The sequence below is a fragment of the Homo sapiens genome, chromosome X, assembly GCF_000001405.40.
Source record: "Homo sapiens chromosome X, GRCh38.p14 Primary Assembly".
NCBI lineage: Eukaryota > Metazoa > Chordata > Mammalia > Primates > Hominidae > Homo > Homo sapiens.
Genome location: NC_000023.11, coordinates 123,994,343 through 124,017,634, shown reverse-complemented (window position 1 = coordinate 124,017,634; position 23,292 = coordinate 123,994,343). Strand labels below are relative to the sequence as shown.

General features: G+C 39.1%; 1 protein-coding gene across 34 annotated transcripts in view; it reads right to left on the bottom strand.

Moving 5' to 3' along the window:
- STAG2 (STAG2 cohesin complex component) overlaps positions 1–23,292 on the bottom strand; it is a 142,097-nt gene that overhangs the window by 85,022 nt on the left and 33,783 nt on the right. For 5 of the 34 annotated variants that reach the window (NM_001441077.1, NM_001441083.1, NM_001441086.1 and 2 more), the window contains one exon: positions 13,888–14,168. The exons of the other annotated variants lie outside the window; for them this stretch is intronic. The gene's annotated coding sequence lies outside the window, so the exon portion shown is untranslated. Of the gene's footprint in view, positions 1–13,887; positions 14,169–23,292 lie in introns of those variants that run through there. 34 annotated transcript variants of the gene reach the window in all.

Genomic DNA, 23,292 nt, shown 5'->3' with positions numbered 1-23,292 from the left:
ACATTCATCAAAAGTACCCCCCAACAAAATAAAAGCACACACAAAACATCCTAATATCTTGCTTTGATATGATTTAATTTTTTTCCCCCCAAAATAATTACTGTTTTAAAGGTCTTTAATTTAGGGGCCAGGCACGGTGGCTCACGCCTGTAATCCAAACACTTTGGGAGGCTGAGGCGGGCAGATCACGAGGTCAGGGGTTCAGGACCAGTCTGGCCAACATGATGAAACCTCGTCTCTAAAACAAAAATACAAAAATTAGCTGGGCACAGTGGTGTGCACCTATAGTCCCAGCTACTCGGGAGGCTGAGGCAGGAGAATCGCTTGAACCCGGGAAGCGGAGGTTGCAGTGAGCCGAGAACACACCACTGCAATCCAGCCTGGGCAACAGAGTGAGACTCCATCTCCATAAAAAAAAAAAGGTATTTAATTCAATCCCAAGTGGTCTCAAGACAAAAAAATGAAAAGCTACCAACAAAGCCATCACTAACAAGGTTCCCCAGAATCCATATATTAATAATATATTACTGGAGAGCACAGGGGAGGGGAACACTTAAGTAGCTGGTATGTTAATTCTCTCACTAAAAATGCAGAAATATTCAACTGCTAAAAGCTGGCAAATTCACACACCACATGCCATACCCTTAACACTCCTCCCAAAAGGGTCACATACTTCTATATGTAAGGATCACATCCAGGAAATGTATACACCCTTCTAAAATGCCACCATCACTATAATACAAACACTTAAAATTAGGAATTACCAAAATGTCCAATTATCCATAGACTATAGGCGAGCACCACCATGCCCAGCTAATTTTTGTGTATTTTGTAGAAACAGGGTTTCACCATGTTGCCCAGGCTAGTCTTGAACTCCCAGGGTCAAGCAATCTGTCCACCTCAACCTCCCAGAGTACTGAGATTACAGGTGTGAGCCACTGCGCCCAGACAGGTACATATAATTTTAAAAGAAAAAAATGTTGTGTCAAGGTCTGATAGACACAGAAAAAATTATTGACCTGGCCAACTCCCTATTCTAGTGAAATAGGATTTTTAAAGCTTCTAAATACTAAAAATTCATCCAACCAAGTACCACTGATAGTACATCAATGTAATTAATGTAATATTCATACACTGAAACTATTTATGACTGTGTACCAATGTGGGTAAACAGACATAATAACAACAAAAAAGAAGCAAAGGAATACAGTAACAAATCAAGGTGGGTAATTTTTTAATTTTTTATTTACAATCTTATTGTTAGTACAAAAAAGGAAATTATGAAGGGGAAATTCAGTTTTTAATGTACTCTGTTAAAACGTGAACTACTAGCTGGGCATGGTGGCGCGTGCCTATAGTCCCAGCTACTTGAGAGGCTGAGGTGGGAGGATCGCTTGAGCCTGGGAGGTCAAGGCTACAGTGAGCTGAGAACATGCCACTGCACTCCAGTCTGGGCAATAGAGTGAGACTGTCCTCAGGAGAAAAAAAAAACTGTTTAAAAACCTAAGCTACCTAAGGAATTACAAAACTATGCTGCTAAAATCTATTCATATTTCATGTTTATAATCATATAAAATTAAATGTACAAAAACTCTGAGTTCTATCATAAAATTACCTTTATTATGTTTGCCTACTCAAGATTAGCAGGGAACATAAACTTTCTTACAGGCTCCTGACAACAAGACCCAAAGGTATGTTCCTTTTATTGGCCTATGTACTTTCTCAGGAGACAGCATACAGAAGTCTGTTGTTTAGTTTGAGGTTGTGAATGCTAAAAGGTAGACTACTTCCTGCAGTAGTACATTTGATCCAAACAGGAAAGTTACTATCATTTCTATGTCAAATGATGTACATGCGGGCAAAAAAATGAAAAGCTAACCCAAAATGTGGACATAAATATCTACCTTCAAAAAGAAAAAAACTACTGCCCCTTTGATGAGTAACAATCTTTAACAAGAATTCGGCCGGGTGTGGTGGCTCCCACCTGTAATCCCAGCACTTTGGGAGGTGGAGGCAGGCGGATCACGAGGTCAGGAGTTCAAGACCAACATGGTGAAACCCCATCTCTACTAAAATAGAAAAATCAGTTGGGCATGGTGGCATGCACCTGTAATCCCAGCTACTTGGGAGGCTGAGGCAGGAGAATCGCTTGAACCCGGGGGACAGAGGTTGCAGTGAGCCAAGATCATGCCACTGCACTCTAGACTGGGCAACGGAGCAAGATGCCATCTCAAAAAAAAAAAAAAGAAATTCTTCTTACCTAAAAGATATTTGTCCTCCCTCTGTTAATCTCCCTAATTTGTGCTATACTATTCTAAGTAAATGACATGGTGAAAATACTTCAAACTAGGCCAGGCACGGTGGCTCACACCTGTAATCCCAGCACTTTGGGAGGCCGAGGCGGGAGGATCACGAGGTCAAGAGATCGAGACCATCCTGGCTAACACGGTGAAACCCCATCTCTACTAAACAACAAAAAATTAGCCGGACTTGGTGGTTGGGGGTCTGTAGTCCCAGCTACTCGGGAGGCTGAGGCAGAAGAATGGCGTGAACCCGGGAGGTGGAGCTTGCAGTGAGCCAAGATCAAGCCACTGCACTCCAGCCTGGGCGACAGAGTGAGACTCCGTCTCAAAAAAAAAAAAAAAAAAAAAAAAAGAAAAGTACGTCAAACTAAGCAATGATCATGTGTACTCAGCCCAGTAGTAAAATCTTAACCTAAAAGTTTCTTGACAACACACTCACATTACAGCTACCACATATATCATTCGCAAATATCTTTTCTTTTACACAAACCTGGATGGAGTCCTACAGAATTCCTAATGGTAGTCCCTGCTCTGGTACAGGAATAGGTAAACCAGAGAAGGCATGCCTGGAAGAAATCTGCATATGTAAGAAGATTAATGACCCTGTCTATATTTCCTAACTAATAGTAGGAAATCTATATTTACAAACTTTAAAAATAATATAAAGGACAGGCCGGGTGCAGTAGCTCAGGCCTGTAATCCCAGCACTTTGGGAGGCCAAGACAGGCAGATCACTTGAGGCCAGGAGTTCCAGACCAGCCTGGCCAACGTGGAGAAATACCATCTCTACTAAAAATACAAAAATTAGCTGGGCATGGTGGCACAGGCCTGTAATCCCAGCTACTCCAGAGGCTGAGGCATGAGAATCGCTTAAACCCAGGAGGTGGAGGCTGCAGTGAGCCGAGATCGTGCCACTGCACTCCAGCCTGGGCAACAGAGCAAGACTGTCTCAAAAAAAAAAAAATTTTATACATACATATATATAAAGGATGGAAGGAGGCCAAAGTAAAAGGCCTTTCTAAAATAACTAAGTAGACAAACTGAACAGGCCTAAGGCCACAACATTACAAAAATAACTTTTATTTTCAGGAATTGGGGAAGGAGCAAGCTGGGGCAGTCTACAGATACAGCATCACTACACACTGCCAGAAACTAAAATTTACAAAACGGGATACATCCACCTGCTCCCTTCCTATTTTTAAGCGTATTATAGTAGGTGCACAGCAATATTCCTAGTTTTCTTGTCTACTCACTTTCCCCAATACTTTCAAAACATGACTCGAGCCATCACCACAACTGTGATCACCTTGACAAACCTACATACTCAGGCTGTCCCAGTTCTCAATGACCATTTTTGATGTCTGTAGAAAACCTAGCACGCCTTGTGAACTTAGCAACCCCCTTAGTTAGGGGTTGGAGGGAGACAAGAAAAGGCTTATGTCCTATTCCCACAGAGCCAACTTGTGCTCAGTACTCAATTGTAACCTGTACCTGAATCACCCAAAGATCCTACCCCGTCTGACATGTTCCTGCTGTAATACATCTACCTTCATTCTGGTACTGGAATCCTGCCCATAAACCCACCCTAAAAAGTCTCCATTTGTCTCTTGAGTTGCCTTAACCTGAATGCCGCAATATTGTCCTCTCATCTGTCTGACCATACTGGCACTGGCTGCTGCTAGACACTGGATACCATATTATAGTTGACATATTGGATACATATCTGCTATCTAATTTGAAGACTACTATTTTCCCCAGTCAGCCCTAATAAGCTGCAGCTGACTAGACATTATCTGGCTCTATCCTAAGACAAATATCAAAACAGATAGAATATTTGTTTTATCATATACTATCACCTTAAAATCATTTCTCAGTCTGCCAAGGTCAATAGCTAATAATTGTTTTAATACTGTCATTATCCACTCTTCATCTCACTTATATCTGAATACCACATTCTACAGTTAGCTTTCTGGACTGGTGTGCGTGTGTGTGTGTGTGTGTGTGTGTTTGTGTGTGTGTGTGTGCATGTGTATACATCTCCATCTTATTAACATAACTTTGTGATGTAACTTGTGATGTCAATTTGTAATGTTAAGACATAACAAATAAACATGGGTAATTACAACTTGGTGTAGTGGCTATCAACATTTCCAATGAGACCATATTAGCTGGTATAAATGAATATCCAGATCCAAAAATCAAATTTACAAGAAGGGTTAAATGGTATACAGCATGATATAAGCACAATATATTATTGCCATCTAAACCATTTCACACTGGGCATCACTGGCTCACTGGCAAATTTCAAAAAAAGGCAGATTTCATAGAAGAGTAGATGAACACAGGATAATCCTGCTTGATGTTGGGGGAAATCTAAATTTTCATTTCACATACTCTCAATAGATTACATCACAAGTTTTCACATTTATTTACTCAAGGTAGTAAAAAGTATCTCAATGAATTACTGAATTTTTATTAATAATTTGCATGATAATGAAGATAGAACTGTAGCCAAAAAACAATTCAGTAGATTAAAAACAATAAAACCAATGTGAAAAATAAACCACTTTATAGAGAATGAAAAATTTTAACCCAAAATTTAAAAATGTGGTGACTATTAATATGTAATGCCTCTTTTTTCATTTTAGCATGACTATATAAGAACACATATATGTCACATGTCCAATTTTTTTGTTCCTTTCACTTCTGATTAGCTGACCTTATTAAAATATTTAGCATTACCAGCCACTTGATATTACCCACTAACCTTTTAGCTAACAACCACAGTACACAATTCATAGGCTTGAATTATATGCATATTCAAGTTCAGAAATCAAATATGCTTTCATAATTCAGTTTGTCAACACACTATAGTACTTCCCAATTCGTATTTCAGATCTAAGAGTTTGATTCTTCACTTGGTAATTCCACACAGTGGTAACAACAGGAGACACATATGTGGTACTCTAAAATTCTTTTAATTCTCTCTAATCTTAAACATTCCTAGACAAAGAGTAAGGCATGCAAATTACATTTTAAAAATTAAATTCAAGCCAGAAAAAGACACTATAAGAAAACTACAGACCAATATCCCTGATGAATATTGATGCGAAAATTCCTAACAAAATACTAGCAAACCAGAATTCATCATTTAAAACATTTAAAATATTATACACCATGACCAAGTGAGATTTATTGCTGAAATGCAAGACTGTTTCAACATACAAAAATCAATCAATGTAACACAGGACATCAACAGAATGAAGGACAAAAACCACATGATCATCTCAGTTGATGCAGGAAAAGCATTTGACAAGATTCAACACCCTTTCACTATAAAAAACACTCAAGTTAAAACTAGAAAAAAATCACCTGCTATGGTTTGAATATTTGTCCCCTCAAAAACTCGTGGAAATTTAATCCCCAATGTGGCAGTACTGAGAAGTGGGGTCTTTAATAGGAGATTGGGTAAGGAGGGCTCTGCCATCATGAATAGGTTAATCCATTCATGGATTACTGGATTAATGATTTAATAGTTATGAGAGTGGGACAGGTGGCTTTAGAAGAGAAAGAGACCTGAGCAAGCACCCTCAGTCCCATTGCCATGTGATGCCTTGCAACACCTAGGAACTGTGCAGAGTTCCCACTAGCAAGAAGACTCTCATCAGATGTGGACCCTCAAAACTTGGACTTCTCAGCCTCCTTAACTGTAAGAAATAAATTCTTTTTCTTTATAAAGTACCTAATTTCAGATATTCTGTTGTAAGGAACAGAAAATGGACTAAGACGCTATCTCTACATAGTAAAAGTCAAAAACTCATAGCTAATATTATACTCAAGGGTAAAAGACTGAAAGTTTTTACTCTAACATACAGAACAAGGCAAGGATGCCCACTCCCACTACGTGTCTATTCAACATAGTATTGGAAGGCCTAGCCAAAGCAATTAGGCAGGAAAAGTAACAAATAAAAGGCATCCAAGTTAGAAAGAAAGAAAGAAGTAAAATTATCTCTGTTCCCAGATGACACAATCTTATATGTAGAAAATCCCAAAGTTTACACACACATAAAAACTCTTAGAACTAATAACCACAAATTCAATAAAGTCGCAGGATATTAAATCAACACACAAAATTCTTGTATATACTAACAATCCAAAAAGGAAATTAAGAAAACAATTCCATTTACAACAGCATCAAAAACTGTAAAATACTAAACCTAACCAAGCACGTAGAAGACTTGTACACTGAAAACTACAAAATACTGCTGAAATGAAAGATGACACAAATAGAAAGGCATCCTGTGTTCATGAATTCGAAGACTTAATATTATCATGAAGTCCATACTACCCAAAGAAATCTACAGATTCAACACAATCCCTATCAAAATTCCAATAGCACTTTTTGCAAAAATGAAAAAAATTAAGCTGAAAATTCATATAGAATCTCAAGGGACCCCAAAAAGCCCAAACAATTTTAGGAAGAAAAGAACAAAGTTGGAGGACTCACACTTCCTAATTTCAAAGCATTTTAGAGAAAGTCCTCAATATCACCAACAGGTTCTTGGAAACTCCAATGTTAAGCAAAATGACGTATAATGAATGAAACCAATTTTTTTCCTCATCAACATTATAACAAAACAACACTGAACAAATTGATATTGTTCAAAGATCTGCTGTACACCGCTTTGCTTAAAGCCCAAGTTTCCAAGAACCTAAGAACGGCACTAAGTGAGAACTTACTGTACAAAGCTACAGTAATCAAAACTGTGAGGTACTGGCATAAAGACAAATAGACCAGTGGAATAGAACAGATATGGATAAACAAAATGTAGTAGATACATAAAATGAGTTACACACCTTTTAAAAGGAAGGAACATCTGTACTACATTACAACACGGATGGACCCTAAGGGCATTATGCTAACTGAAATAAGCTAGTCACAAAAAAGACAAATACCATATGATTCAACTTATGAGGTATCTGAAGTAGTCAAATTCATAGAAACAGAAAGTAGAATGGTTACCAGGGACTAGGGGAAGAGAAAAACGGGAGTTGTTGTTTAATAGGTATAGAGTTTCTGGCTTTCAAGATGAAAAATTTCTGTAGATCTGTTTCACAGCAGTTGGATATATTTAACGTTACTCAATTATACACTTAAAAAATGGTTAAATGGTAAATGTTGTTGTTTACCACAATAAAAAATTAAATTTGAAACCTCTTTTATCAAGCAAGCTTCTCTCATATGGTATAAACTCACAGGATTTTACTTAAATCATCGATCATTTAAGAACACCTTTCTACTAAACAAGCATACCACATACCATATAACTACTGATCTATTGAGATGTCATTTTGTAAATTAAGACACTAATCATTGATATCTACACTCAGAATATTTTGAGACTTTTTGTCTCCCGTTTAATAAGGTAAAATGCACCAAAGCTTATGTTAAATTTACAGCAAAATATCAAAAGAAATAATCTAACTTTTCCAAAAAAACATGGAAACACTTGAACAACCAGAGCTAACCTTACATTTAAGTTGCTCACCATAGAGTATGAAAACTGTCATTGAAACCTATTTAACAAATGTTAAACATTTATTTCCCTTGTTCAAAATATGACAGTACAAGTCAAGTCCCATAGTTACCCACAAGAGCACACAACTTAAAGCCAGGGTAAAAAGCAGCAACAATCTTCCAGCAGCAACGCAAACTAACTGCATCCAACGGTTAGCATACTAAATGGCCTCATGTGATGATACTAAGATTTAGGAATTACCCTAAAATGCAACACTTGATTCCATTAAACTCGAGAGGAAGCATACAGCATGAAAAAGATCCAGTAAGAAGAGATATCTATCTATCTATCTATCTATCTATCTATCTACCTACCTACCTACCTACCTACCTACCTACCTACCTACCTACCTACCTACCTGGTTAGATTACTGGTACCAGATATCATTAGGGGACTCTCACATTTTGCCCTGTAACCAAGCAAATTTCATATACTTTAGCATGCCATCCAAACAGACCAACTCAATCTGAGCTCTAAGATGACTGAAGTTTTTAAACCTTCCCTAGAACTATGACCAAAAGACTGCCTTATTTCTAAACAACAACAAATACATTAAAGCATCCTGCAAAATCAATATCCCCAAAAGAACTATCGAGATGCTAAGAAAGGAGGCGAAATAATGACTCAACATATATTTAATATTAAGAGCAATATATTATTAAAAACAAATATATATTAGAGCTAACGTTTTTGTTTTGGATAGACTTGAAAGTACACTCTACTACAGAGAACTTGAAACTATCTTAGATTCATAGTTATTGCAACTTTGCTGTTATGACACAGTTTGTTGTAACAATGGTTTATTTGTTAAGTCATTAGTCAGGAAAGAAACTTCTCAATTAGAAAACTCTTTCAAAAAAAAATGTGTTATAATTATCCTCCTGGCAAAAAGTTATCTGCCAAATAACGTAGCAACACTGAGAACAACATGATTGAGAAGATTATTCATATGCAAGGATCTCCATCTTATTCTATGATTATTATTTTGGCAAAAATACTCAAAATGATCTTTTCATCATGAAACACAATCTCCCTCTCCCTCTGTCTCCCTCCACCCACCATAAATGACTGTGCTTAGCTATCCTGATTAATAAATTAATTGCAACTAGCAGCTGGGCATGGTGGCTCATGCCCCTAATCCAGCACTTTAGGAGACTGAGGCAGGAGGATTACTTGAGCCCAAGCGTTTGAAACTAGCCTGGGCAACACAGCGAGACTGTCTCTAAAAAATTAATAATAGGGCTGGGCACGGTGGCTCACGCCTGTAATCCCAGCACTTTGGGAGGCTGAGGCAGGCGGATCACCTGAGGTCGGGAGTTTGAGACCAGCCTGACCAACATGGTGAAACCCTGTCTCTACTAAAATACAAAAATTAGCCAGGCGTGGTGGCGCATGCCTGTAATCCCAGCAACTCAGGAGGCTGAGGCAGGAGAATCGCTTGAACCTGGGAAGCGGAGGTTGCAGTGAGCCGAGATCGCACCATTGCACTCTAGCCTGGGCAACAAGAGTGAAACTCCATCTCAAAAAAAAAAAAAAAGAAAGAAAATTAATAATAATAATAAATTGCAACTAGGAAAGGGAAAAACTTTTCTCCTCCAACTTCTACATATAATCTATTCTGAAGATGTTTGCCAAATATGCCATTATCATGTCATTTTACTTGAATGTTTTACTTCATTATGTCCCCTTTCACAGGTTAGTCCTATGTCACCTACTTTGGCTAACCATAATTTACAAAGTATTCAACTGCATTTCACCTGTCTGTTTTTCTGCCCAAAGTCATAAAGCAACAAGCAGTTTTTCCAGTGTTACATACTTGAACTTAGTTACTAGTGAACCTACTATCTCATGTTGATCATAACTCATAGATCACAAAATAATGTGGAAGTCAGTGTAGCAGATTCAACTCTCACAACATAAAAAACAGCATTAACACAACTCTGAAAGTCTTCTGTTAGGTCTGCTACTTAATATTTAAGTTTACATCAAATTATGTAATATAATGTAAAATGTGATGCCTTTCACAAAGTAAGAACATGTATATGAATGGATGTATTTGTTTGCACAAAAAAATACTGAGAGGATTAACAAGAAACACTTTTTCCAAGTTGTAAGGAGGAAGGGATGATAAAAGAAATATACGAGACAGGAATCTGTGGAAGACTTCTATATATACCTTTGCATATAATTTTAACTTTTGAATAAGGAAAATGTCATACTCATTCAAATGAAACTGAATTTTGTTAGGTTATGTCACTGTCATAGAAACAGAAATTTCTGAAATTAAAGACAAATTGGAAAAAAAAACCTAATCATGTACATCAAATCAATAACACAGACATACAGAGAAAGTATTCATATAAAGTGAGGTCAGAACACAACACTTTGCTTATCCTTAGTGGGAAGAATTTTAAGGACAAAAAGAAGAAAATTTAAAGCAGGATGGGATGGCTCACACTTGTAATCCCAGCACTTTGGGAGGCCAAGGTGGGGGGATCGCTTGAGGCCAGGGGTTTGAGACCAGCCTGGTCAACACAGCGAGACCTGTTCTCTACAAAAAAGGAGAGGGAGGGAGAGGGAGGAAAGCGGGGAAGGGAGAGGGGGAAAGGGTGGAGGGGGAGGGAAGAAAGAGAGAGAGAGAGAGAGATCGCTTGAGCCCAGGAGTACGAGGCTGCAGTGAGCTGTGATTAGGTCACTGCACTGCAGCCTAGGTGACAGAGCAAGACTATGTCTCTATTTTTAAAAAAAAGAAGGAAAGAAAATTAAACTTCATACAATACTTCTGTTGTCTGCTACACTAATTCTGTTTTTCTGAAGTTATTTTCTTTATACTATAGGAGAAGGCAAGCAATCTTGTTAATGACCCTAAGAATCAAGATATTAAGTATAAAAGAGATAATTAGCAAACAAACTTTTAAAACACATGTTAAACTGAATAGAAGAAAACACAAATTAAAACCACAACATGATATCACTACATCTGTAAGAATTGCCAAAATAAAAAAATAGTGACAGCCCGGGCACGGTGGCTCACGCCTGTAATCCCAACACTTTGGGAGGCCGAGGTGGGCGGATCACAAGGTCAGGAGATCAAGACCATCCTGATGAACACAGTGAAACCCCGTCTCTACTAAAAATACAAAAAAATTAGCCGGGCGTGGTGGTGGGCACCTGTAGTCCCAGCTACTCGGGAGGCTGAGGCAGGAGAATGGTGTGAACCCGGGAGGCAGAGCTTGCAGTGAGCTCAAATTGTGCCACTGCACTCCAGCCTGGGCAACAGAGCGAGACTCCCTCTCAAAAAAAAAAAAAAAAAAAATAGTGACAACACCAAATGATAGCAAAGATGCAGAGAAACTGATTCTTATACACTGCTGGTGGAAATGTAAACTACAGCCACTCTGGCAAAGAGCTTAGACGTTTCTTTAAAAACCATACATGCACTTACCATAACCACCAGTAACCTTACACCTGAGCATTTATCCCAGAGAAATGAAAACCTATGTCTACGTAAAAACATGTACATAAACATCCATAGGACCTTTGTTTGTAATAGCCAAAACATGAAAGCAACTCTGCTATGGGTTTAATTGTGTCTCCCAAACATTCATATGTTGAAGTCCTATCCCCCAGTACCTCAGAATATGACCTTATTTGGAGTCAGGATCTTTACTGAAGTTATCAAGTTAAAACGAAGTCCTTAGGGAGGAATGCAATATGAGTGGTACTCTAATAAAAAAAAGGACAATTTGCAAAGAGACATACACACAAGGAGAACACCATGTGAAAATGAAGGCAGAGATGGGAGGTAATGCTTCTACCAGCCAAAGGACACCAAAGATTGCCAGCAAACCACCAGAAGCTAAGAGAGGGGGACAGAATAGATTCTCTCAGAAGGAACTAACCCTGCCAACTCCTTGATCTTGGACTTCTTGCCTCCAGAACAATAAATTTCTGTTGTTTAAGCCACCCAGTTTGTGCTACTTTGTTAGGCAGCCCTAAAAAACTAATACAAACCCAAAAATCCCTCAATGAGTACATGGTTAAACAAACTGTGGTACATCTGTACCGCAGACTACATCTCAGTAATAGAAAGAAATGAATTACTGAAATATAACAACATGGATGGATCCCAAGGAAACTATGCTAAATGCAAAAACAAAACAAAACAAAAACTCAATAGTTATATACAGTATGATTTCCATTTATATGACTCCATGAAAATGTCAAAATTATGAATAACAGGTTAGTGGTTGACACAGATTAGAAACCAAATAGAGGAAGGAGAGAAGGGGTGGGGGAGTGAGTGTAACTAAATGAGTAGTGTGAGGGATATCTGTGATGATGGGACAGTTCTGTGTCTTGATGGTGATGGTGATGGTGGTGGTAGTGCTTACACCTATCCACACATGATAAAACTGCATAGAATTATACACATAAAACATGCAAACATAGTTATCTAAATGAGTCCATGTATAACTAGCAAGATCTGAATAAATACAGTTAGCCCTCCATATCCATGGGTTCCCCATGCTCAGATTCAACCAACCACAGATAGAAAATATTCAGGGAAAAAACACAATGAAAAATAACAACAATAAAAAAAATACAAATAAAATCAATACAATATAACTATTTACACGGCATTTATATTATATTAGGTGTTATAAGTAATCGAAAGATGATTTAAAGTATACAGGAAGATGTGTGTAGGTTATGTGAAAACACTATGCCATTTTATCTAATAAACTTAAGCATCCATGGATTTTGGTATCATCGAGGGTTCTGGAACCAATCCCCCACAGATACCAAGGGACACCTGTATATGGACTGTATCAATGTCAATTTCCCGGTCTTGACATTGTGCTGTAATTATGAAAAATGTTACCATTGGGGGAAACTGAGTGAAGGACACACGGGACTTTGCTCCTAATTCTGCAACATACCATAAATTATTATACCAAGATAAAACTTTAAGAATAAAGTCAAAAGGTGGATAAAAGAGAAAAAAAAGTAAAAAGCAAAGAACCTTAACATTTTTAATAGAATGCACGAAAGCAAAACAAGGACTCAAAACAGACATTTGTACACCCATGTTCATAACAGCATCACTCACAATTGCCAAAAGGTAGAAGCAACTCAAGTATCTATCAATGAATGAATGGATGAACAAAATATGGTACATATACACAATGGAAAATTATTCAGCCTTAAAAGGGAAGGAAATTATGACAGAAGCTACAACATGGATGAACCTAGAAAACAGTGCTAAGTGAAATAAGCCAGTCACAAAAGGATAAATAGTCTACAATTCCACTAAATAGGAATATATATGTGAGGTACCTAGGAGTCAAATTCAAAGAGAAAGTAGAATGGTGGTTGGTTATCTTGGGCTAGGGAAAATGGGAAATTAGTGCTAAATGGGTATAGAGTTTCAGCTGGGAAAGGATCTGGAGAGCAGTACACCATGTCCCTGAACTTTTTATCTTCTCTGGACTATGAGTGGGGTTAGGAGGGATTAGGATTGGTGGATTAACAGAATTGAGGAGACAGCAGGATGCTGATAGTCCTGCCCAGGGCTGCACCTTGCCCATGAGGAAGACTCTAGGTCAAATGCCAATAAATATGAACCTCTAGAAAGTTTTCAAAAAAGAAAAAGTTCCAGAGATGGATGGTGGTGACGGCTGCACAACAAATGTGAAAGCACTTAATGCTACTGAACTGTACACTTAAAAATGGTTCAAATGTATATGTTATCTGTATTTTACCATAAAAAAGTTAAAGCAAAAAATGTTTCATCAGGAGTATCAATATAAACTGATTTTTAAAATACATCAAAAACAAATACACATGACTATAGTGTATTAAAATATATTAAACCAATAAAAATCTATAATAAACCTCAAAAAAAGATAAAAGAACAAATCTATGTTATCATTATAGTTACTAAATTAACACCTTAATTTGAAAATTGGTAACTAAAGGAAAAAATTAAGTATTTACCCTACCTTTTCATTAAGAATTATATTTCAGGCTGGGCACGGTGGCTCACGCCTGTAATCCCAGCACTTTGAGAGGCCAAGGAGGGTGGATCACCTGAGGTCAGGAGTTCAAGACCAGCCTGGCCAACATGGTGAAACCCCATTTCTACTAAAAATACAAAAAAAATTGCCGGGCGTGGTGGCAGGCGCCTGTAATCCCAGCTACTCGGGAGGCTGAGGCAGGAGAATCGCTTGAACCCGGAAGGTGGAGGGTGCAGTGAGCTGAGATCACGCCATTGCACTCCAGCCTGAGTGACAAGAACAAAACTCAGTCTCAAAAAATATATTAAAAAAAAATTATATTTCAGGTAACAAGCAATCTCAGTTGATGAAAGAAAACTAAAGAAGCCAGTGAATACAGGAGTGATTTTGGAAATTATTCCCTAACTAACAATGAAATCAGTGACGCAAACAAGATTAGCAACTGTAATTAAAAATATCAGGTGTGGGCTGGACTCGGTGGCTCACGCCTGTAATCCAGCACTTTGGGAGGCTGAGTTGAGTGGATCACTTGAGGTCAGGAGTTTGAGACCACCCTGGTCAACATGGTGAAACCCTGTCTCTACTAAAAATACAAAAATTAGCCAGGCGTGGTGGCACATCCCTGTAATCCCAGCTACTCGGGAGGCTGAGGCAGGAGAATTGCATGAACCCAGGAGGTAGAAGTTGCAGTGAGCCGAGATCGCACCACTGCACACCAGCCTGGGTGACAGAACAAGACTCCACCTCAAAAAAACAAACAAACAAAAAATCAGGTGTGGCCGGGTGCAGTGGCTCACACCTGTAATCCCAACACTTTGGGAGGCCTAGGCGGGTGGATCACCTGAGGTCAGGAGTTCAAGACCAGCCTGGCCAACAAGGTGAAACCCCGTCTCTACTAAAAATACAAAAAAAAAAAAAAAGAAAGAAAGAAAGAAAGAAAAATTGCCAAGCGTGGTGGCAGGCACCTCTAATCCCAGCTACTCAGGAGGCTGAAGCAGGAGAATCGCTTGAACCTGGGAGGCAGAGGTTGTAGTGAGCCAAGATCGCGCCATTGCACTCCAGCCTGGGTAACAAGAGTGAAACTTCGTCTCAAAAAAAATCAGGTGTATGGCTGACGCAGAACTGGCCATCTTTTAGTTCCCAAGTAAAACCACACAGGTAATTTTCTACTCATAAGGTGAAAACCTAGCAGTACAATAAGAAAATTGGACAGTCATCACCCTAAGCCAGGAATTAACTTTATCATCACTAACGTATCTACAGGAAAGATACAACAAATATACAAAATCACCTAGGATATATTCAAACCTATAACTCCCGAGTGCAAGCAATGCTCCCGCCTTGGCCTCCCAAAGAGTTGGGATTATATGAAGACTGTGGTGTATCTACTATTGTAAGATTTTACTTATATGAAATTCTAAATTACAAAAAATGCAAACTAATCTACCTTGACAGAAAGGAGGCAAGAAGAAACTTGAGGGTAATGGAGATGGGGTTTTTATGTTGTTGTTGTCTTGAGACAGGGTCTCCCTCTGTCGCCCAGACTACAGTGCAGTGGCATGATCACAGTTCACTGCAACCTCAAATTCCTGGGCTCAAGCCATCCTCCCTCCTCAGTAACTGCATCCCACCATGCTCAGCTAATATTTTTGTGTTTTTGTGTGTTTATTTTGTAGAGACAGGGTCTTGCTTTGCTGCCTAGGCCTGACTCAAACTCCTAGCCTCAAGCGATACTCCTGCCTCAGCTTCCCAAAGTGCTGAGATTACAGGTGTGAGCCACCCAGCCATGATGTTATCTTGATTGTTGTGGATGGTTGCAAGGGAGTATATATCATGGGTGATGTCTATTGTATGTAAATTATACCTCAATATATAGTCATGTGCTGCTTAACAATGGGGTAAGTTCTGAGAAATGCATCACTGGGCAATTCGTCGTTGTGCAAATATCACAGAGTGTACTTACACAAGCCTGGATGGTATAGCCTAGGCTTACTACACACTAGGTTACATGGCATAGCTTACTGCTCCTAGGCTACAAACCTATACAGTATGTTACTGTACTAAATACTGTAGGCAACTAACACAATGGTAAGTATTTGTGTATATAAGCATATATAAACCTAAAAAAGGGTACAGTAAAAATACCATATAAAAGATAAAAAATGGTATACCTGTATAGGGTACTCACCATGAATGGAGCTTGCAGGACTGAAAGTTGCTCTGAGTGAGTCAGTGAGTGAGTGGTGAGTGAACGTGAAGGTCTAGGACATTACTAGACACTATTGTACACTTTATAAACACTGTACATTTAGGAGACACTGAATGTATTTTTTTAAATATTTTGGCCGGGTGCAGTGGCTCACGCCTGTAATCTCAGCACTTTGGGAGGCCGAGGCGGATGGATCAAGAGGTCAGGAGATCAAGACCATCCTGGCTAACACGGTGAAACCCCATCTCTACTAAAAATAGAAAAAATTAGCCAGGCGTGGTGGCACGCGCCTGTAGTCCCAGCTACTCGGGAGGCTGAGGCAGGAGAATCGCTTGAACCCAGAAGGCCGAGGTTGCAGTGAGCCAAGATTGCGCCACTGCACTCCAGCCTGGGTGACAAAGCAAGACTCCGTCTCTAAAGAAAAAAAAATTTTTTTTCTTCTTCAATAATAAATTAAACTTCATTTACTGTAACTTTTTTGTTTTATAAACTTTTACACTGACTCCTAATTATAACACTTAGCTTAAAACACATATTGCACAGCTGTAGAAAAATACTTTCTTTATATTCTTATTCTGTAAGTTTTCTATTTTTAAAATTTTTATTTGTTTTGTTTTCAAACTTTTTCGTTAAACGCTAAGACACAAATATACATTAGCCTAGGCCTACATAGGGTCAGGATCATCAATATAACTGTCTTACACTTCTACATCTTGTCCTACTGGAAGGTCTTCAGGGACAATAACATGTGGAGCTGTCATCTGTCATAACAGTGCCTTTTTCTGGAATACCCACTGAAGGACCTAAGACTGTTTTACAGTTAACTTTTTCTTTTTTTCCCTTGAGACAGGGTCTCGTCTCACTCTCTCATCCAGGGTGGAATGCAGTGGTGTGATCACTGCTCACTGCAACCTTGAACTCCCTGGCTCAAGCGATCCTCTTGCCTCAGCCTCTCAAGTAGCTGAGACTACAGGCATGCACCACCATGTCTGGCTAATTTTTTTGGGTATTTTTCTTGTAAAGATGGCATCTCACTATGTTGCCCAGGATGATCTCAAGCTCCTGGGCTCAACTGATCCTCCCGTCTCAGCCTCCCAAAGTGTTGGGATTACAGGCATCAGCCACCATGCCTGGCCACAATTTGTTATAAGTAATAGTACATTCTAAAATAATGATAAATAGTAAATATGTAAACAAGTAACACAGTTATTACCAAGTATTATGTACTATACATAACTGTATGTGCTATACTTTTATACAACTGGCAGGGCAGGTTAATTTACACCAGCATCCCCACAAACACATGAGAAATGCACTGCACTAAGACGTTATAAAGGCTACGACATGACTAGGTGAAAGGAATTTTTAGCTCCATTACAATATTATAGGACGATCATGCTGTACGTGGTCCATCGTTGACTGAAACGTCATTATTCAGCACATGACTGTAGTTTATATAAAAGGAGGGTGAGCTGTGCTAGGTTATTAGAGTTGAGGCTTAAGAGACCAGATTCACATGGAAGGATCACTTGAGACCAGGAGTTCAAGACCAGCCTGGGCAACATAGCAAGACCCTGTCGCTACAAAAAATAAAAAAAAAAAAAAACTATGGCCGGGCAGGGTGGCTCACAGCTGTAATCCCAACACTTCAGGAGGCCAAGTGGGTGGATCACTTGAGCCCAAGAATTCAAGACCAGTCTGAGCAACATGCAGAAACCCCGGCTACACAAAATATATAAAAATTAGATGGGCATGGTGACACACATCTCTAGTCCCAGCTACTCAGGAGGCTGAGGCAGGAGGATCACTTTGGCCCAGGAGGCGGAGGTTGTTGCAGTGAGCCGAGATAGCACCACTGCACTCCACCCTGAGCGACAGAGGCAAGACTGTCTCAAACAAACAAACAAAAAAATTAGGCATACATGGGGACACACACCCGTAGTCCCAGCTACTTGGGTGGCTGAGGCCAGAGAATCACTTGAACCCACAAGTTGGGAGATTGCAGTGAGCTATGATTATGCCACTGCACTCTAGCCTGGGTGACAGAGGGAGATCCTGTCTGAGAGAGACAGGGAGAGAAGGGGGAGGGAGGAGGGTAGGAGGAGGGAGAGAGAAACCAGATTCAATGCATGTATGGTTTGGATAAACCAGATATGATACATGTTTATGAATACTTGGAGAAATGTGAATGTGGACTGGGCATTAAAATTAAATGTTACTGACATGAAATGGTGGAGCTAAATAAAAAAGGAAGAAAAGGAGGGAAGAAAAAGACAAGACAGACACAAAAGCACATGTATAGAATAATGTCTCTCTGCTTCCTCTACTCTGAAGGGGTGTTTCTTTTTTAATGGCACATATATATGTGTATAGAAAAATGTCTGAAAGATAAAAACAGGATGGTTTTATTTTCTTTCTATTTTTTTAGAGACAGAGTCTCACTGTCACCCAGGCTGGAGAGCACTGTCACCTCGAACTCCTGGGCTCAAGTGATCCTCCTGCCTCAGCCTCCTGAATAGCTGGGACTACAGACATGCACCCAGGCACCACCATGCTTGGCTAATTTTTTTTTTTCATTTTCTGTAGAGATGGGGTCTCGCTATGTTGCCCAGGCTGGTCTCGTGATACTCCCGGCCTTGGCCTCCCAAAGCACTTGGATTACAAGCATGAGCCACTATGTCCGGCCTGGTTTTGCTTTCTTATTTTTAGTTATCTGTAGATTTTTTCTACAATGTACATATACAACTTTTATAAGAATATTTAAAACTATATTTAAAAATCTATCCAAAGCACTTGAAAGAGACTCAGGTCACTAATTATTAGGGAAGTACAAATCAAATCACATTAAGATTTGACTTCATATCTATTACGAAGGCCATCAGTTAGTTAGATAGATAGATAGATAGATAGATAGATAGATAGATAGATAGATAGATGGATAGACAGACAAAAAAATATTGGTGAGAAAATGGAGAAACTGAAACTGTGGGGATGTAACTGTGGAAAACGATATAACTGTTCCTTAAAAAAAAAAAAAACACATACACACACACGGCAGGGCGTGGTGGCTCACACCTGTAATCCCAGCACTTTGAGAGGCTAAGACGGGTGGATTACTTGAGGTCAGGAGTTCGAGACCAGCCTGGCCAACATGGCAAAATCCCATCTCTACTTAAAAAAAAAAAAAAAATTAGTTGGGCATGGTGGCGAGCACCTGTAATCCCAGCTACCCAGGAGGCTGAGGCAGGAGAATCTCGAAACTGGGAAGCAGAGGTTGCAGTGAACGGAGATCATGCCACCACACTCCAGCCTGGGTGACAGAGTGAGACTCCATCGCAAAAAAAAAAAAAAAAAATTAAACACAGTATTACCATATGATCCAGTAATTGCACTTCTGGGCATATACCCCAAAGAATTCAAAGCAAGCACTCAAAAAGACATTTATGTACCCATGTTCATAGCGACATTATTCACAACAGTCAATGTGGAAGCAACCCGAGGAGCCATCAACAGATGAATGGACAAACAAAATGTGGTATATACATACAATAGATTATAAACTCTGACATATTAAACAACAAGGGACCAGGCGCAGTGGCTCACGCCTGTGATCCCAGCACTTTGGGAGGCCGAGGTGGGCGGATCACCTGAGATTAGGAGTTAGAGACCAGCCTGGCCAACATGGTGAAACCTTGTCTCTACTAAAAATACAAAATTTAGCCAGGCAGGGTGACGGGTGCCTATAATCCCAGCTACCTGGGAGGCCGAGGCGAGAGAATCACTTGAACCTGGGAGGCGGAGGAGGTTGCAGTGAGCCGAGATCGTGCCAATGCACTCCCGCCTAGGTGACAGAATGAGACTCTGTCTCAAAAAAACAAAAACCAACCAACCAACCAAGGATAAACCTTGAAGACAATGGGCTAAGTGAAATAAAAGCCAGTCACAAAAGGACAAATATTCTATTATTCTACAAATACGGGATGAAGTACCTAAAGGTGTCAGATTCAAAGAGACAAAGTAGAATGGTGGTTTGCCAGGTGCTGGGTGTAGTGGTCCTCCACTGTGGAGTCATTGTTTATGGGTCCAGAGTTTCAGTTTGGGAAAATTTTTTAAGTTGCTAGAAACAGATGGTAGCGATAGTTGCAAAACAATGTGAATGTACTTAATGCCACTAAACTGTGCACTTCAAAAGTTAAAATAGAAAATTTTGTTATATATATGCTACCACAATTTTTAGAAATCTGTCTCATCAAAATTCTACTAAAATTTTTTTCAAAATCAGCAAGCTGATTCTTAGGTGAAAAGGCAAAGAAGTTAGAATAACCAAAACCATTTTGAAAAAGAACAAAGTTGGAAGACTCACACTACTTGATGTCAAGGCTTTCTATAAAGCTACGGTAAGACAGTGCGAATGGTGATCAAGACAGATCAATGAAATAGAATAGAAAGTCCTGAAATGGACCTACACACATATGGTCATTTGATTTTTGACAAAGGTGCCAAGGCAATTCAATGAAGAAAGATAGTCTTTTCAACAAATGGTGCTGGAATGACTGGATATCCATATGTCAAAAAAAGTTAATTCTTTCCATACCTTGTACCATATGCAAAAATTTAACTCAAAATGGATGCTAGACTCAAATGTAAAAACCTAAAACTATCAAAACTTCTAGGCAGCTTTATTTGTAGTCACCAAAAGCAGAAATAACCCAAATGTCCTTCAACTGGTGGTAAATGGATAAGCAAATTATGTTATACTCATACAATGGAATACTACTCAGTAATAAAAAGGAACAAATTTCTGCTAACACAACACCCCGGATGAATCTCAAATGCATTATGCTAAGTGAAAGAAGCCAGACTCAACTGGCTACTTACTATATGACTCCATGTATATGACAGTCTGGAAAGAGCAAAAAAAACATATAAATGAGAAAGAAATCAGTGGTTGCCAGGGGCTATGGTTGGGGAGGAAAGAAGGACTACCAAGGAATATTGGAGGGATGTGGAAATAGAGGTACTGGAACTGATCTATATCTTAATTGTAGTGATGGTTAGACAACTGTATACATTTGTCAAAACTCCCAGAACTATCCGCTAAAAAGTGTAAATTAGACTGTATATAAATATCTTAATTTTTTAATTTATGTCCATCAGTGTTCGCCTGCCCATACTCAAATGCTTTCTTCTGATGTTATTTCATCAACATCTACATTGGAACCTCAAAGCTATCTGTTTCAGCTATCTGAATAATATTTAATATTTAATTCTATGTTGCTGTGATTGTTTTAACCAATTAACACATAAGTAGTCCCTCATACTGACTGAAACATGATTGAAGGCATTGGCCAAAGGCGATATGCATTTGTAATTTTAACAGATATCAAAATTGCCCTCCATGTTCGGGGGTTATATCGAATTATACTTCCACCGGCAATGTATGTACGGATCTGTCAGTTTCTATACAGTCACCAACAGTGCTGTCAAGACTTTAGAGATTTTTGGCAATCTGCTAAGTGAACAGTGGTATTCAGGATACTGGTGAACCTCCCTACACAAAATTCTACTTCACAATCTCAGGAACCAAGCATACATTTTCAATAAATCCCTTGTTACTCAAAACATCAACCAAACAGATTTGGATAATGCAGTATTAATCACTATCTGAACTCTTGCTAAGGAAATCAGGAACCAAACAGGTCTAAGAAGGGATATCTGTCATTTTAATAAGCACTTCTCTATTTTTCTTATTTAAGCGCCATTCATATTATCTTTTTCATAAATGCTGCTTGCATTTTCTTAACAAGCTAATGATTTCTTTTTTTTTTCTGAAACAGAGTCTTGCTTTGTCACCCAGGCTGGAGTGCAGCAGTGCAATCTCGACTCACTGCAAGCTCTGCCTCCCGGGTTCACGCCATTCTCCTGCCTCAGCCTCCCGAGTAGCTGGGACTACAGGCGCCCGCCACCATGCCCAGCTAATTTTTTGTATTTTTAGTAGAGGCGGGGTTTCACCATGTTAGCCAGGATGGTCTCGATCTCCTCACCTCGTGATCCACCCGCCTCGGCCTCCCAAAGTGCTGAGATTACAGGCGTGAGCCACTGCTAATGATCTTTTTCTTACTGACTCCAAAGAGCTCTTTATATGTTAGGATAAATAGCCTTTCAGGCTTCTTAAGTCAAAAGTTCTCTCCACTGCTTCCACAGAGATGATTTCCTGCTAAAACGGATTCGTTGTGCAAAAGCCCTACCATATCTCCCTAGTCGTGACTAAACCTTTTCCATAAAGGCTTTATCTTGTAGCCTGCTCATCTCTTTACCTGCTCCCATTGTCACATACAAAGGATATTATTGTATTTTACAGTCAAGCTTTCTAAGATCTACCATCTCTGGGCCAGCTCACTATTCTCCACACTTCTTTGATGCACGACCTACCGGCCCCTCTACACATTTTTTGTAATCGGCACATTTTATGTCTCCAAGTGTGCTAAAAATAGGAGTTTGCAGAGGTTTTTTGTTTACGTTGTTGTTTCTGTATTATACGAGAGGGAAAAAAATGCTTTTATACTACCATGGTAATACCAGAAGTGTTACCAAAATACTTACGCAAGTAATAGCATAACATGGTTTCTACAGCAAATCAACTTCCCCTAAATACTAATCAACGCTGAATTTGTTTTTAAGTTAAAAGCTTTTCCCAAGGTCACACAGCTAAGAGGCAAGAATCTAGGCTTGAACTCATCTTCTACATATTTGTCTCATAAATATATACTTGTCTTACTAGGATAATCCACATAATAGCTCTTCAGAACAAAAATAAGACTACACTCTTAAAGTATTGTGAATCACTCAATTTCAAACATAAGGTCTTAATTTCCTTCCTTTGTACTTAAGGAACTATCTAAAACTATCACATAGAAACCCCTGAAATATCTTACTCTTCATTCAATACATGCAATAAAAATAATAGTTTCCTTACAATTGTGTACACAAAACGATCTTTAGCAAAATCTTGAGCAGCAGAAAATCCCCAACAGCTGCACTTTACCATCAATCTTATTATAAAGCAATAGGCATTTGCTTTGGGTTAGATATGGTTTGTTTGTCCCCACCAAAACTCATGTTGAAATTTGATCCCCAACGTGGCTGTGTTGGGAGGTAAAGCCTACTGAGAGGTGTTTGGG